This window comes from Homo sapiens, chromosome X, assembly GCF_000001405.40.
Source record: "Homo sapiens chromosome X, GRCh38.p14 Primary Assembly".
NCBI lineage: Eukaryota > Metazoa > Chordata > Mammalia > Primates > Hominidae > Homo > Homo sapiens.
The window spans coordinates 47,879,279-47,896,844 of record NC_000023.11 but is presented as its reverse complement, the minus strand read 5'-3'; the positions used below and the strand labels follow the sequence as shown (position 1 = coordinate 47,896,844).

General features: G+C 41.3%; 1 protein-coding gene across 6 annotated transcripts in view, besides 1 other annotated feature; it reads right to left on the bottom strand.

The window, feature by feature from the left end:
* Positions 1-17,566, bottom strand: part of ZNF81 (zinc finger protein 81) — an 88,726-nt gene that overhangs the window by 28,783 nt on the left and 42,377 nt on the right. For 5 of the 6 annotated variants that reach the window (NM_001378154.1, NM_007137.5, NM_001378152.1 and 2 more), the window contains 2 exons: positions 8,720-8,846; positions 905-1,000 (listed from right to left, as the gene is read on the bottom strand). In NM_001378154.1, the coding sequence (NP_001365083.1) occupies positions 905-1,000; positions 8,720-8,846 (223 nt within the window). Of the gene's footprint in view, positions 1-904; positions 1,001-8,629; positions 8,847-17,566 lie in introns of those variants that run through there. The other variant, NR_165431.1, reaches the window with a different exon arrangement.
* Positions 15,519-16,059: a transcriptional cis regulatory region, noted in NCBI's record as "genic|chrX:47740185-47740725 region (GRCh37/hg19 assembly coordinates) targeted for CRISPR interference". NCBI's record gives its function as "negatively regulates HDAC6 gene expression in K562 cells {active_cell/tissue: K562}" and the evidence as "EXISTENCE:mutant phenotype evidence [ECO:0000015][PMID:31784727]".

Genomic DNA, 17,566 nt, shown 5'->3' with positions numbered 1-17,566 from the left:
AAAGAGTATGTAAGGTATTATTCCATTTATATAAAACCCTAATAAAGATAGATCTAATCTAGAGTGACAAAAAGCATGTCAGTGGTTGCCTGGGGCTGTGTGTACTGACTGCAAGGGGCATGAGGGAGCATTCTGTGTGAAGGAATGGTATATATCACAATAGGGGTGGTGGTTACACTGGTGTATATCTTTATCAAAACTCATCAAACTGTCCACTTAAAATAAATACATTTCATTTTGTGTAAATTCTACCTTAATAAAATGGATTTTAAAAGAAGAAATGCTAAGTGATAGTGACCATAAAGTCAGAAGATGGGAGAGAGGTACTAGGCCATGGGAAGGTGGAGAGGAGTGAGGAATCTGAAGGTGATACTTACAAAGGCAACAGGAGGTGAGGCTGGTTGTAGATGAGAGTTTGTTGGTACCTTAGAGTGAGAAGGTGAGAACAAAAGAAAGAATAAAGTGCAAGAGTGCTAGGAAGAACAGAAGTGAGGCAACCAACGGATTTTCAAAAAGTCAAATCCAGTAAAACTGAAATGTATGTGATAAGAATCTAAGACTCTGGGGTGTGGTTTAAGGAATTACACATAAAAATGGGACTGAAGGAAGGAAAGAATATCCAAGAAAGCAAGACCGCTAGTGAGGAAGACTGGCATGTAATCCAGAGTATAGGAATTGGGGCAATTCTCCTGGAAGAAAGCCAAGCAAAGAAGACAGGTGATAACAGTAAGAGAAATAAAAGGAGAGAACAATTTGGCACCCGAGAGGCCAATGCTACCTATCCTCAAGCAATTTATAAAGTTTCCAACCTTTAAGCAATAACAGCATTTTAAAGGCATCGGTCTTCCTTAGGGAAAAAAAAAATTACTTCGTGTCCCCATCTGCCTGGGTCACACCCACTCACCTGAACAGCTCTGATGTGGGGCTTCCCCTTCCAATGTCCATGGCCCCTCTCCTTGCTCCAACTTGAAGATGACCTCTGGTTTAGGAACTTCGAACCCTGTTAACAGGACACGATAGAGAATTGGGTCCAGCAAATTGCTTTCCATTTGTTCTTTGGAGAAGTAACCACATTTCATGGGGAACTGAGTAATAATCACAGAGGTGAAAAGGGACTGAAGAATCTCAGACAAGTCAAGGAGGACATCATCATAGGGTTCTAATGTCCCAGATAGCTCAGTGGTGGTGAAGGGAAACACAACGAGGCTCTGTATTGGTGTCCTAAGGCTGCTATAACACAGTACCAAAACCTGGTGGCTTACAACAACAGAAATTTATTGTCTCTTATGTCTAAAGGCTGGAAATCCAAAATCAAGGTGTCAGCAGGGTCATGCTCTCTCTGATGGATCTAGGAGAGAACCTTTCAGCATCTTCTAGTTTCTAGTGTTTGTTGGCACTCTTTGGCATTCCTTGGCTTGTGAATACATCACCCCAGTGACATGTCTGTCTTCTACCTGCGTATCTTCTTATTGTCTTCCCTCTACGCATGCTTGTAGCAGCAATACCCCAATTTCTGCCTTCATCTTCATATGGCATTCCCCCGTGTCCAAATTTCCCCTTTTTATAAGGACATCAGTCAGATTAGAGTAGGGCCCACCCTAATGACCTCACTTTAACTTGATTACCTCTGCAAAGACTCTATTTCCAAATATGGTCACATTCTGAAGTATCGAGGGGTAGGATTTCCACATAGTTTTGGGGGAAGACAAAATTCTACCCACAAGAGTCTGCCCTCTAGTCCCCCAAAATTCATTTCCTTCTCACATGCACAATACATTCACCCCATCCCAACATCCTCCAAAGCCTTAGTCATTCTAACATCAACTTGTAAGTCAAAAATCACATCTCGACATCGTCAACTAAAAGTCTCAAATCTCATCATCTAATTCATCCAAATAAGTTATGGATGAGAGAGGATATAATTCATCCTGGGGAAAAATTCCTCTCTATCTGTGAACCTATGAAACCAGACCACAAGTTATCTGCTTCCAAAATACAATGGTGGGACAGGTATAGGATAGATATTCCCATTCCAAAAGGGAGAAACTGGAATGAAAAAAGAGATAATGGGACCCAAGTCTGAAACCTAGCAGGGAAAATTCAATTAGATTTTAAGGCTTGTGAATAATCTCATTGTCTCCATGATCTGTCCTCTGAGCCCACTGGGTGGCAGGTAGCCCTGGGCCAGGAATGACACCCCTATTACCCCTAATGGTCCACTAGCAAAATTTTTGCTACCTGTCTCTGTGACCTTATGCTCTGCTGTTCTAGAGGTCTTAATTCCAAAGGGAGAAATACTTCCACCAGGAGACACACAATGATTCCACTAAACTAAAAGTGAAAACTCCCACCCGACCACTTCGGGTCCCTCATGCTCCTGAATCAACTGGCAAACAAGGGAGCTATGGTTTTGGCTGGGGTAACTGATCATGATTACCAAGGGGAATCCTGGCATTGCCTAATTTTAGCAAGATTCCTGTTAAGTCAGTTTAGCTAGAATCTCCCAGCCTCAATATCTGATCACCCTTGATATCTGATCAAATTCCTCATCTTGTACTATCCCCCACGTAATATTTGATCACCCTCACCTGCCTTCAGCAAGAATCTTGTCAGGTCAGTTTAGTAACAATCCCCCTTTACCCCTGATGTTTCCTCGCATTAGTCATTTTCCATCGACTGGCCCCACTCTGCTCCTGGGCTATATTTATAAATCCCCACTTGTCCACGTTGTATTTGGAATTGAGCCCAGTTCTATACCGAAGTATCTTTTCCCCTATTGTAATAGTTCTGAATAAAATCTATTTTCACTGCTTTAACTATTGTCCAGCTCTGGTTTTCTTTGACAGTTTTGGTGCTACAACTCGGATAAGATCAGACTGATCACTGGACCCCAGACTTCTCACTCAGAATCTGAAGTATGCACCTTCGAAGCCTTTGTCTTCACTCCTGACTGATTGGGGACCCATTGATGAGTCCAACTCCTGAGCCTCTGGATGACAGTCCACTGAAGCACAGTAAGGACAGATTTTGATTTTTTCTTTTTTTTTTTTGAGACAGAGTCTCACTCTGTCACCCAGGCTGGAGTGCAGTGGTACCATCTCAGCTCACTGCAACTTCTGCCTCCTGGGTTCAAGTGATTCTCATGCTAGAAGGTAGGTTAAAGTTCCAGGTAAGCAGCTGTTTATAAGAAAGTAAGTTAGAGTCTCATGCAAGGAAAGGCTGGGTTAGTCTCCTAGGTTTCTCTTTTTGTAAGAGGCTGGGTTCTGTAAGGAACAGAAGCTGGGTCAGAGTCCCAAGTTTCTCTATTTATAACCATAAAAGTACTATTAGTTAAAAAACATGGGAACTTCTCAGTCTACCAAAATATCCATTTTTGAACCCCTGCTGGCTATATGCTCCACCAACTCTACCTGTTTCCTGTCTTGTTGGCATGATTTTACTAAGGATAATTTGGAACTTCAGGGGTTTCCTTGGGAAACTTTACATCTCCCCCAACTGTCTCCTCCAAAACCTCTCCCTTCCCATTGCTTCTGCTCCTCCTTCTTCCTTTTACCACCTTTGATCTTCCCTTTAAGCTCTCTTGAATCCTCGCATAGGTCACTCTTCAAACTCCTACCTCTTCCACCCCTCTATCCATTCCTGCCAGACCTTTCCCTTCCTACTTCAGTCTCTTAACTCCCTACAGTCACTTGAACTTTGGGACCCCTCCTCCCATCAGGGGCTCTCAAGAGACTGAGGGAACCCTAAAAGCAACCATCTGAGACTAAAAAAGAAAAAAAAACTAATTGGAAATAGACTAGACATTGAACCTTTAAATTCTTGAGTCTCCTTTGCCAGTAGAGGCAGCCCTTCTACCCTATCTGAGAAGGTTAACCCTACTTTGCCTGAAGCACTTTCAGTGGCTTCCCCTGAGGTACTTGCCTTGACAGGCACTGCCAATTCCCTTAAGAGCCTATGCTCACCACCCTTCTTTGCTTTTAGACATATAACTGGACTTAAGTCAAAGCAGGTCCCAAAAGGTGAAGTACAAAGAATGACCCATGAGGATGTGTGTACACCAAAAGAACGGCACGATTCATTTAATTTATGCAGACAAATCTAAAGACTATACATTGATATGGATATCAAGGGTGTATGATAAAGGTGGAAGAAACAAAAAGTTGGATCAGGCTGAATTGATTGGTATGGGCCCACTAAGCAGAGATTCTGAATTTGATATTGCTGCTGGAGGGGTTAGAAAGGGCTCTAACAGTTTGGTTGGCTGGTTGGCTAAACATGGACCAAAAGGTGGCCTACACTAAATGAAGTTGAAATGCCAGAACTGCCTGGGTACTCTGCAGAGGAAGGTATCCAAAGAATTGTACTGTTGGAGGGGATTTATCTTGTGATACCTGTTCATCTACTCTGGGAGGGTCCAGAGGACACACCTGTCACCAATGTGAGAAACAAATTTTTAAGGGGAGCCCGAGCATCCTTGAAGATGTCCAAGTGCTCTTGTCTGTAGGCTGGAACTTACAGTGGGAACTGCAGCCACTGAGTAGGGAAACCTAAGTGCAATGGGGGTAGTTGGATCCTGGGGTGGCAGGGGTTAAAGGGAGGTACTTAATCGCCAAATGCAAGGTGAACATGGCTACCACAATGGACAGCAGAGTCAAAGCAACAATCAGAATAGTCTGATTCACAGAGACCTATGGCACTGGCTAGTTGATCATGGTGTCCTGAGAAAAGAAACAGATAGGCAGTCTACACAATAATAAGTTGATCTGTATAAGTAGAGGAATTCTAGGTCAAGTGAACAAAACTCTAACTCGAATCATAAAAGCACAAAGTCACAGCCCTTCAATCAATTCCCAGACTTGAGCCTATTTACAGACTCAGACCCAGAACCCCTTGAATGAAGGGGAAGCCAGGTTCCCTTAGGGAAGGACCCTGGTACACTGTCAAAAACTTATACTATGAAATCTTTCTCCCAGTGTTCCCCAAAGGGACCTATGGCCTTTTATCAAGATAACTATGTATTGGGAAAAAAGAATAATCAGACATTTTGGGAATTACTGGACACTGGCTCTGAACTGCCACTAATTCCAGGAGACCCAAACACCACTATGGTCCACCAGTCAGCGTAGGAGCTTACAAAGTGTAGTGGTTAATGGAGTTTTAGTTGAGGTCCATCTCACAGTGCATCCAGTGGGTCCCTGAACCTGTCCTGTGGTTATTTCCCCAGTTCCTGAATACATAATTGGAAGGACATATTCAGCAACTGGCAGAATCCCCATATTAGTTCCCTGACCTGTGGAATGAGGGCTCTTATGGTGGGAAAGGCCAAGTGAAGCCACTAGAGCTGCCTCTGCCTAGGAAAATAGTAAACCAAAAGCAATACCACATTCCTGGAGGGATTGCGGAAATCAGTGCTACCATCAGGGATATGAGGGATGCAGGGATGGTGATTCCCACCACATCCCCATTCACCTTGCCTATTTGGCCTGTGCAGAAAATAGATGGATTTTGAAGAGTGACAGATTACTGTAAACGTCACCAAGTGGTGACTCTAATTACACTTGCTCTTCAAGATGTGGTTTCATTGCTTGAGCAAATTAACACATTCCCTGGTACCCTATGCAGCTATTGATCTGGCAAATGTTTTTTTGTGATACTTGTTAGTAAAGACCACTAGAAGCAGTTTGTTTTTGGCTGGGAAGGCCAGCTATACACCTGTACTGTCCTACCTCAGAGGTATATCAACTCTCCAGACCTATGTCATTATTTAGTCTGCAGGCATCTTGATCACCTTTCCCTTCCACAAGATATCACACTGGTCCATGACACTAATGAGATAATGCTGATTGGACCTAGTGAGCAAGAAGCAGCAACTACGCTAGACTTATGGGTAAGATATTTACATATCAGAGAGTGGGAAATAAATCTGAAAAAAAATTTAAGGGCCTTACACCTCAGGGAAATTTCTAGGGGTCCAGTGGTATAGAGCATGTCGAGATATCCCTTCTAAGGTGAAGCAAAAATTGTTGTATCTGGCCCCTCCTATAAGAAAAAGAGAAAAGGCACAATGCTTACTGGGCCTCTTTGGATTTTGGAGGTAACACATTCCTGATTTGGGTAAAGCTACTCTGGCCCATTTATCAAGTTATCCAAAAAGTAGCTAGTTTTCAGTGGGGACCAGAACAAGAGAAGACTCTACAACAGATCCAGGCTGCTGTGCAAGCTGCTCTGCTGCTTGGACCATATGATCCAGCAGATCCAATGGTGCTTGAAGTGACAATGGCAGACAGGGATGCTGTTTGGAGCCTTTGGCAATCCCCTATAGGTGAATCACAGTGCAGATCTTTAGGATTTGGGAGCAAAGTCCTGCCATCCTGTAGTAGTGGATAACTACTCTCTTTTTGAGAAATAATTTTTGGCTTGCTATTGGGCCAGAATTTACTCACCCACTGAATTTAAGCACACTAGTTAGTGGAGAAGAAACTTAACAAGGATTCCCTCAGTAACAGCAAGTGAACATGGAAGAGCCCAGTGCTAAACCTCTGCCCCACAGTGGGGGTGTTGGAAATGTGGCATAGAGAAGACCCACTCCCCACTGCTGCTTATAGCACCCAAGTCCTTCTGATTGAGGCCCAGCCTGATGATGGTATAAGGCCAGCAGCAGGCTCTGGTGCACTGGGCCTGGGCATTATTGGGGCCATGTTGCTTGAGAATGTACCCCAAAGTGGGTAGTAAACTCCATCTACTAAGGCTAAATACGTGCACAAAATTGATAGTCAACAAGAACCATAAGGGAAAGTTAAAAAGATATATATATTTGGTCTTCATCACCTGATATGGTTTGGATCTTTGTCCCCTATAAATCTCATGTCAAATTGTAATCCCCAGTGTTGGAGATGGGGCCTGGTGGGAGGTGACTGGATCATGGTGGCGGATTTCTCAGGAATGGTTTAGCACCATCCCCTTGGTGCTGTTCTCATGAAAGTGAGTGAGTTCTCGTGAGATCTGGTTGTTTAAAGGTATGCAGCATCTCCCCCTCACTCTTGCTCTTGCTCCCACCATGTAATATGCTTGCTTCCCCTTTGCCTTCCGCCATGATTGGAAGCTTCCTGAGGCTTCCTCAGAAGCAGGAGCCACTATGCTTCCTTTACAGCCTGCAGAACCGTGAGCGAATTAAACCTCTTTTCTTTATAAATTACCCAGTCTCAGGCATTTCTTTATAGCAATGTGAGAACAAACGGACTAATACATGGTGTAACTAATACATGGTGTAACCTCAGATCAGACATGATAACCCTGCAACCTTGGCCCTGCCCCCTCAGCCCTGAAAACAGATGGCCCTGTTCTCTGAAACTAAGGAGGCAATGGGTCCCCCCATCTCCCCAGCCTGTGCCTTCAGGGCCTGTGGTGGCAGCTGCAGCCCTACTAGCTTCTGAACTATCCTCAAAGTCATTCTTCCCTTTTCTTGAAGGATGACACATGTTCACAGTCGAAATAGCTTTATCATCACATTTCCTGCTTATAGAATCCCAGAAGTCCAACAGCCTTCCTTCATTTTCTCCTGTCTCTGTCCCCTTCAGTCCAACCTGGAAGCATTTCTAGTGAGACAGTTGATTGGATCCACAAGTCACACACCTAATCTCTTTAGTAATCGGTTGTCCAGACACACCCTTGGTGTTCTTTCCAGAGTACACTTTCTGAATTTTTGCCATATGGATAGGCTGAAAATTTTCCACATCTTCAAGTTCTGGTACCTTTTTCCTAACAATTCTTTCTTCAATTTATCTCTTTCTTCTCACATTTTACATAAGCAGCACAGAGAAACCAGGCTGTGCTTTCAACACTGCTTGGAAATCTCCTCAGCTAAATATTCAGGTTCATCACATACAAGTTCTACTTTTCACCCAACAGAACGCAATTCAGCCATGTTCTCCGGTACTTTATAACAAGGATCGCTTTTCTTCCAGTTTGCAATAATATGTTCCTTATTTCTATCTGAGATCTCACTAAAAGTACCTTTAACATTCATGTTTCTACCAATAGTCTCGTTAACGCAATCTAGGCTTTTTCTGTCAAGCATATCAAAACCTAGCCCCTAGCTCCAGCCTCTACCCGTTACCCAATTCCAAAGCCACTTCACATTTTTAAGGTATTTATCACAGCCACACCCCATTTCCAAGTGTAAAACTCTGTATTAGTTTCCTAGGGCTGTTATAACAAAGTACCACAAACTAGGGGGCTCAAAACAAGAGAAATTTATTGTCTCACAGTTCTGGAGGCCAGAACTCCAAAACCAAGGTGTTAGCAGGGCCATACTCTCTTTGAAGGTGCTAGGGAAGGAACTGTTCCAGGCCTCTCTTAGCTTCTGGTGGCCTCAAGTGTTTCTTGGCTTACAGATGTATCATTCTAGTCACATTCCATCTTCTCCCTGTGTATCTTCATATTGTCTTCCCTCTGTGTGTGTGTTTGTGTGTGTGTGTGCGTGCGTATGTGTATATGTGTCTGTGTCCAGTTTTCTCCTTTTTATAAGGACACCAATTATATTAGATTAAAGCCCACCCTAATGATCTCATTTTAGCTTGATTACTTCTGTAAAGACTCTATTTCCAAATAAGGTCACATTCTGGGGGGCTGGGGTATTAGGACTTCAACATATTTTATTTGGGGGCACAATTTAACCCATAACAGGCTCCTCACAACTTCACAGGATGGTTGTCCTTACCCACTGAGAGCAGGTGGCTGTAGTTCTCCAACATTACATCCTGGTACAGGCGTCTTTGAGTAGAGTCCAGTTGCTGCCACTCCTCTCTACTGAAGTCCACAGTCACATCCTCAAATGACACTGATACCTGTAACAACACAATCTTGTTCAAGGCAACATGATCAGCACTGGAGGATGGAGAGAAAACAGATAGGAAGCTCTTTTTGATACTTTTTCATCATAATATACGATATGGTATGCCCATTAAATACTTAGTTTATATATATACACATATGTAATATTGTGTAGAATATAAAAATCTAATCATAAATTTCTGCTATTTATTATGTATGACATTTACTCTTCCATTTATTAAAAATTATAATTTTTAGTAAGGATTTGACCTTGATCCTATTTTGTTGCTCATTTTTATGAGAAATTTGTGCCCTATAACTTGTAGAAGGAAGCACATATATCCCTTCCATCCCAATTTTTAAAAATTTCACATAGCTCCCTCTCCTGTTGCTTTCATTTACTCTTCAAAAATATGGCCTCTTTCTCTTGATGCCCTGTTATTGCTCATTTCTAATTTAATTCCGTCATGGTCAGAAAGTATACTCTGTATGATTTCAACATATGGTCTATCTAGGATAATGGTCCATGTCTCCCTGAAAAGAATATATATTTGGCTATTGATGGCTGTATTGTTCTGTAATGTATAAATCAAGTTGGTTGAGTGTTGTTGAAATTTCCTGTTGCATCACTGATTTGTTTTCTACTTGTTTAATCACTTATTTGTCAAGATTTTGGTAAAAACTGACAAATGTTAAAGTTTATATGGCTATGCGAAGGACCCAGAATAGCCAAAAGCAAGAAAAAGTATGAAGGATTTATACCCCCTAATGTTAAGATTTACTGTAAAGCTACAGTAATACAGGCAGTATGGGATGATGTATGCACAGACAGATATATCATTAGAACAGAATAAAGTCCAGAAACAGACCCACACATGTACGGACAATTGTTTTTTGACAAAAGTGCCAATGTGATTCAATGGGCGAAAGTGAAGTCTTTTCAACAAATTGTGTTGGAAGAGATAGATATCAGTATTAGGAAAAAAGCATAAACCTTGACCCACGCCTCACACCATATACAAAAATTAACAAAAATTAAGTTTCAGTATGACTGCATTGCTTTTATCAGACCAACCTTCATACACATAACAACTATAAACTCTGAACAAAAAATATTTTAAAAACTATCTAAAGATACTAAGGAGCAACCCAAGTCAGGCATCTATGGGAGGAGAGCTGACACTTAGAAGAGAGGCTGGCACTTTAGCTTGTGAATAGGCCCAGTCAGTGCCACGTGGGGTAACTAAAATTCCAAGAGAAGTGGTACATGCCTGTGGTCCCGGCTACTTGGGAGGCTGAGGCGGGAAGACTGATTAAACCTGAGAGGTCAAGGCTCAGTGAGCTATGATTGTGCCACTGCACTCCAGCCTGGGTGACAGAGTGAGACCCTGTCTCAAAAAAAAAAAAAAAAGAGAGAGAGAGAAAAGAAAAGAAAACCACCAGTGTTATTGACTTGAAGAATTGAAGGGGAGTTCTGCAGTCATCACTACCATTGGAAAATCAAGGGGGAATCCAGAAAGGCATTGAAAGAGAGAAGGGTGCCTAAATTCTGTGAATGAACTCTGCCCAGATCTCTGATTGACCAGCTGAATGAACTGGAATTTGAGCTACCACATACCACAGAGAAAACATTTCCTAGTTTGAGTCTAGCCAAGTTAAGTGCTCCCTACACAAAGCAAAACAAAAAAATCAACAATAGTCAGAGGAATTAAACAGAATCAAGCATCTCTAATGTATGTTTCACAACAAAGATACAATCCAAAACAACTCAACAGAGAAAGAGACAGAAAGGTGTGGAGAGAAAGGGAAGAGGCTCAAGAGAAAATGCACTCAGAGACTGACCTGAGGTGATCCAGATGCTAGAATTAGCAGAAAAGCACTTTAAATCAGTTAGTTATAATTATGCTCAAAAACATACAAATATGTTCATAATGAATGATTAAATAGGATAGGCCAACTAAGAAATATAAACTATTTTAAAAAACTGAAAAATACAATCTGAAACTAAAAAGTTCACTGGATGGGCTTGACAGAAGAATAGAGGTAACTGAAGAAAGAGGTAATTAACTTAAACATAGACCAACAGAAATTATCCAATCTGAAAAGCAGAGAGAACAAAATTGAAAATAAAAACAAACGGAGTCTCAGGGATGATGCTATGGTTTCAATGTTTGTTGTCCCTCCAAAATTCATGTTGAAATTTAATCCCAATGTAACAGTATTAAGAGGTATGACCTTTGGAAGTTATTTAGGTCATGAGGGCTCATGAATGGGTTAGTGTTCTTTTAAAAGGGCTGGAGGGAACTAGCTACATCCTTCCTTTTTGACCTTCCACACTTTCCACCACGTGAGGACACAGAATTCACCCCCTCTGGAGGACACAGCAACAAGGCGCCATCTTGGAAGCAGAGAGCAGCCCTCACTGGACACCTAAGCTGCTGGTGCCTTTATCTTGGACTTCTCAGCCTCCAGAATTGTGAGAAATAAATTTCTATTGTTTATAAGATACCAAATCTCAGGAATGTTGTTACAGTAGGACAAACAAACTAAAACAGATGAGTAAGACAAAAATCAAAAGATCTAACATACATGCAATTTAAGACCCAGAAGGAGAGAAGGGCAGAAAAGGTATTTTTAAAAATAATGTGCAGAAACTCCTCAAATTTGGTGAAAGACATACACTTATAGATTCAATAAGTTTTGCAAATTCCAAACAGAATAACCCACATAAAACCATTCCTAGGAGCATCATAGTCAAACTATTGAGAACCAAAGAAGACAAGATTTTAAAAGCAGCCAGAAAAGCCAAAAACAAACAAAAAATCCCCCCAAATATTACATACAGAGAAATGGTGATTCAAGTGACCACTTACTGCTCAACAGAAGAAGTGGAGGCTAAAACACAGTTGGATGGTACTTTTAAAATGCTGAAGAAAGTAAAGTATTATCTGACTGGTTAAATGTTAGGAGTTCTTTGATTAGGTCTCGAGGCCTAGGAATAATTCTTCATGGCTTTTGGTTCCACACTCTGGGTCCTTGGCACCACCATCTGAGGTATCCTTCCTTTTTCATGAAAGGCAACAAAAGAGTTTGCTCAACCTGCTTCCTGCCAAAGAATTTTGGGGGGCCAACATGTTTTTCCATTTTTTATTGTTTATATCCCTTTCAGTCCAAAGTGGTAGTATTTCTGCTAATATAGTTTGCTCTAAAATTTTATTTTCTGTGAATCTCACTGGGTTCACACCATTAGACAAAAGCTGTACACCCATAGATCTCTCTGAAATTTAGGATTTCTCTAACATTCTCCTTAAAATCTTTTCCAGCCTCCACCAACTTCTCAGTTTGAAGGACACTCCCACATTTTCAGGCTGCCCCATTCCCAGTACCAAAATCTGTGTTACTTATCTATTTGATGCATAGCAAATCACTCTAAAACTTAGTAAGTTAAAACAACTGAATCACTCAGCACAACAGCCTGCAAGAAACTGAATCTTACCAACAATCACTTGAGTAAGCTTGGAAGTGGATCCTTCCCTTCAAGATGAATGCAGCCCCAGCCAACATGGACTGCAGCCTTGTGAGAGACCCTGAGTGAGAGGACCCATGTAAGCCACACCTGGATTCCTGACCTACAGAAACTGTGAGGTAATAGATGAGGGCAGCTCACAACATGGCACCTTCCTTCATCAGAGCAAGCGAGAAGAGCCAGAGAGAGTATGCCAGCAAGCTATCTTACAATCTCCTTTTTTTTTTTTTTTTTTTTTTTTTTAGATGACGTCTCGCTCTGTCGCCCAGGCTGGAGTGCAGTGGCGCGATCTCAGCTCACTGCAACCTCCGCCTCCCTGGTTCAGGCAATTCTCTGCCTCAGCCTCCCGAGCAGCTGGGATTACAGGTGCCCACCACCACGCCTGGCTAATTTTTGTATTTTTAGTAGAGACAGGGTTTCACCATCTTGGCCAGGCTGATGTTGAACTCCTGACCTCATGATCCACCTGCCTCGGCCTCCCAAAGTGCTGGGATTACAGGCATGAGCCACCACGCCCAGCCACAATCTCTTATAACCTAACCTCAGAAGGGCCATCCCATCACTTTTGCCATATTCTATTTATTAGAAGCAAGTCACTAGGTCCAGCCCACACATAAAGGGAAGTGGATTACACAAGGGTGTGAATACTGAGTAGTGGGGATCACTGAGAGCCATTTTAGAAGGCTGCTTACTACAGTGTATCAAAATTTGTGAAAAGCAGATAAAAGACAAATTTACAAGGAAATTTATAGCTTTAAACACTTATATTACAAAAGTCTAAATCAGTGTCCTCAAATTTACCCTCAAGGAGCCATTAGCTAATAGAAAATGAAGGACCAAATAAACCTAACAGAAGTAAAAGAAAGGAATTACTAAAGAACAGAAATAGAAAACAAATCATAGAAAAAGTTAACAAAAAATTAACTTGAGCTAGATTATAGACCTAAACATAAAAGCTGAAACTAAAAATGCCCTAGAAGGAAATGTAAGAGGTTATCTTTGCAACCTTGACGTAAGCATGGATTTCTTGACATAGTAGAAAAAGCCCCAGCCATAAAAGAAAATCTTCAAAAACTGGACCTTATCAAAATTAAAACTTCTGCTCATCAAAAGACGCTATTGAGAAAATGAAAAGTGAAGCCACAGACTGGGAGAAAATATTTACAATACATATACAAAACACCCATATTAAGAATGTAGAAAGAACTCCTAGAAAGTAGTAAGAAAAAGACACACAGCCCAATTTTTTTTAATGAGCAAAATACTTGAGCAGACACAAAAAAGATATACAAATGGCCAATAAAGCACATGAAAAGATGTTCACCATCATTAGTTGTAAGGGAAGTGCAATTTAAGCTATATTGAGAAAGCATAGACACTCACTAGAAAAGCTAAAATTAAAAAGAAACTCAAAAATTGCTGGTAGGAATGTAAAACCAAGCCATCACTTTGGAAACTTGTTTGACAATTTCTTTTTTTGTTTTTGTTTTTGTTTTTGAGACAGAGTCTTGCTCTGTCACCCTGGCTGGAGGCAGTGGTGTGATCTTGGCTCACTGCAACCTCTGCCTCCTGGATTCAAGGGATTCTCATGCCTCAGCCTCCCTAGTAGCTGGGATTACAGGCGTGTGCCACCACACCCGGCTAATTTTTGTATTTTTAGTAGAGACAGAGTTTTGCCATGTTGGCGAGGCTGGTTTTGAACACCTGGCCTCAAGTGATCCGCCCACCTCAGCCTCCCAAAGTATTGGGATTACAGGCCTGAGCCACTGTGCCAGACCTTGTTTGACAATTTCTAATAAAGTTAAACATATACCTACCATATAATTTAGCAATTCCATTTCTTAGTAGTTACTAAAAAGAAATTAAAACATACATCCTCAGAAAACTTATATAAGAATGCCCATAGCAGGCTTGATTCATGATAATCAGAAACTAGACACATTCTAAATGTTCATCAACACATGAATGTCTACACAAATTGTGGTGTCTTCATACAATGGAATACTCAGCAACAAAAAAGGAAAAATCCACGGATAGACACAACAACCTGGAAGAATCTCAGAAGCATTATGCTATTTTACAAACAGAAGCCAAACACTGAAGTCAGACACAGATGGTTTGATTCCATTACAAAGACAGGACAATCAAGAATTTTAATCTACAGGGATTTAAAACCTTAACAATGGTTGTTGCCTCAAGGGGAGAATACTGACTGGTCAAGAGGGAACTTTCTATATTTTAATTTGCATGGATGTGTATATATATGTACATATATGTGTGTATATGGGTGTGTATATATATGTACATATATATATACACACACATATACTTGTCAAAACTCATCAAACTATACATTTAAGATCTGGGCAATTCAGTATATTTCAAATATGACTCAATTTCAAAAACCACAAAAAACAAAAGGGCATGTTAGAAACATATTCATGCCTATAATCCCAGCACTTTGGGAGGATCGCTTGAGGCCAGAAGCTTGAGACTAGGCTGGGCAACACAGTGAGACCCCACCTCTAAAAAAAAATTAAAAATTAGCCAGGCATGGTGATATAAGCCTGTAGTCCCAGTTGCCTGGAAGGCTGAGGAGGGAGGATCGTTTGAGCCCAGGAGTTTGAGGTTACAGTGATCTATGGATGCACCACTGCATTCCAAGCCTGAGTGACAGAGTGAGACCCTGACTCTAAAAATAAAATAAAATAAAATAAATATATTGAAATATATTCAGGGTACACCGTGGGCCCCAAATAGAAAACAGTCAATTCTACTGGGGATGTAAGTTTAGGTTCCATAAAGTTGGTGCAGTTTAAATTGGCTCTTGGGGAAAAAAATTAATTGAAAAGATAAGTGGGGGAAATACTTTCCAGAAGAGACAAGGAAAATAGTGTGGAAACAGGAAAATACATGGTGAATTAAGTAAAGAGCAAACAGCTCTGTAAAAAAGAGAGAATACTATTTATATGTCAGTCCTATGGTTTGAATATCTGTCCCCTCTGTCATAGGTAGGCAGCGACTATCTGGGGCCGGTGGCACAGGGGTAAGAAGAATTTACCAAGACAGTTGTAGGTGAAGAAAGGCAGATTTGTTAGAGAAAGTAGGAAAATATGTTGCAAGGGTGCAATGGGCAGACCAGCAAGAGAGGAGCTAACTGCAAGGAAAGAAAGGCTTGCTGGGGATTTTATAGAATGGTGTTTATGATGTATGCTGAAGAGGGCTTTGTGCAGTACTGATAACATCAGCTGAAGGCCTGGTAATAGTTGGGAGCAGGAAGATTGCGAGTTATTTGTGCAGGAGGGCTATGTGTCCTGGACCATGAAGAAAGGCAGACTTGTAGCTTATCTGCTTTATCTTTTTGTTTCCTTCAGTCCCACTAGCCCAACTCCTTTTCCCTAATTAGGACTCCACACCCTCCAAAATGGATTAGTCCATTCATAGATTAAGGGGTTATCACAGGAATGGAACTTGTGGCTTTCTAAGAAGAGGAAGAGAGACTGAGCTAGCACACTCAATCCCCTAGCCATGTGATACCCTGCACCACCTCAGGACCCTGCAGAGTCCCCACCAATGAGAAGGCCCTCACCAGATGTGGTCCCTTGACCTAGGACTTCTCAGCCTCCATAACTGTAAGAAATAAATTCCTTTTCTTTATAAATTACCCAGTTTCAGGTATTCTGTTATAAGCAACAGAAAATGGAAGTAAGACAATTAGGGAGGTGATTATGAGAAAAACATTCAGGTAAGTATGCTGGAGTCTGATCATGGAAATAGCATGAATTCTTTTAAGTAACAGTTTGCCAATGAAGTGTTTTATATATCAAGAAAGAGGTATTACTGAGTTTTATATTAAAATTATTATCCCACCCACAAGTACTTCATTTCAGGGTACACAAATAATTGATTTTGGAAATTTATTCTTTACAGAAGAATTCCAGCTGAGAAATGCTAATAAAAGCAATGATCACGAGGCCAGGTGCAGTGACTCATGCCTGTAATTCCAGCACTTTGGGAGGCCAAGGTGGGTAGATCGCTTCAGCCCAGGCATTTGAGACCAGCCTGGGCAACATGGCAAAAACCCATCTGTACAAAAAATACAAAAAATTAACCAGGCATGGTAGTGCACACCTGTAGTCCCAGCTACTTGGGAGGCTGAGGTGGGAGAATAACCTGAGCTTGGGAGGTCGAGGCTGCAATGAGCTGTGATGCATCACTGCACTCCAGCCTGGATGACAGAGTAAGACCCTGTCTCAAAAGAAAGCACTGATCATCAATGGCTGCTGAAACTACTGAGTGAAAGACTGCAGAAATTTTATAATGTATGGACCAGGCTGAGAACCCCTGAACACACAGACATATTTGGTATTATGTGCCTCCTGGAGGGATGAATTAGCAAGTGTGTTCAACACCACCTATGAAGTATTCTTGCCCAAAAAAATTAAATCTGAATTGATCAAGCCTCTAGATTCATCAGTTCATATTAATATAAAGATACAGGAACACGTTAAATAACACCACAAGAATACAATTAGCAAATTCCAAAATGTGGGACATAGCACAGGGCAAATGGCCCAGTTTCTTCAACAAATAAATAGCAAGGAGAAAAACAAGAGAGAGGAGAATCTGGGAGATTTGCCATAGATTAAAAGGGACTTGAGAGGCTGTTGGGAGATGGCTCTCCACAGGTCTCTGCACATCTTGAAAGCAGACTCACTGACTGCCTTTTTTCCAACTTATCTTTTCAAGCCTGTTAATACAGCAAGCAGCCCTGGAAGACAGAGTCTCCCTCCAGAACAAAGGGCAGGTTATACTAGAAATTATACTAAACGTAATTTCTCCCTTCAGGACAAAGGAGAGGCAGATTTATTGCCCATTATAAAAGATCTGGAGTCCATAAACTTAGGCTTTCTCTCATATAATGGAACCCACTGTATGTGCAGGTATCATCTAGCCCTCTGCATTGCCTTGTGGAAACTGAGGCTTAGAGAAGCAGCACAACTGCTAACACTCCGGCTACCACAAGTATTATAAAGTCCTTTATCTCTTACTGAGGAGTCTTGTATTTTTTGCCAGCATCCATGATACTGTGCTGGGTTTTTATCTTGCAAGTAGGGTAATATCTCAGACTCTTCACAGTTCTTGAAGTTCTGGTGATTAGGATTGGCCACTCACAGAGATGTAGCTTTCTGGAAAAGGAAAGATGAG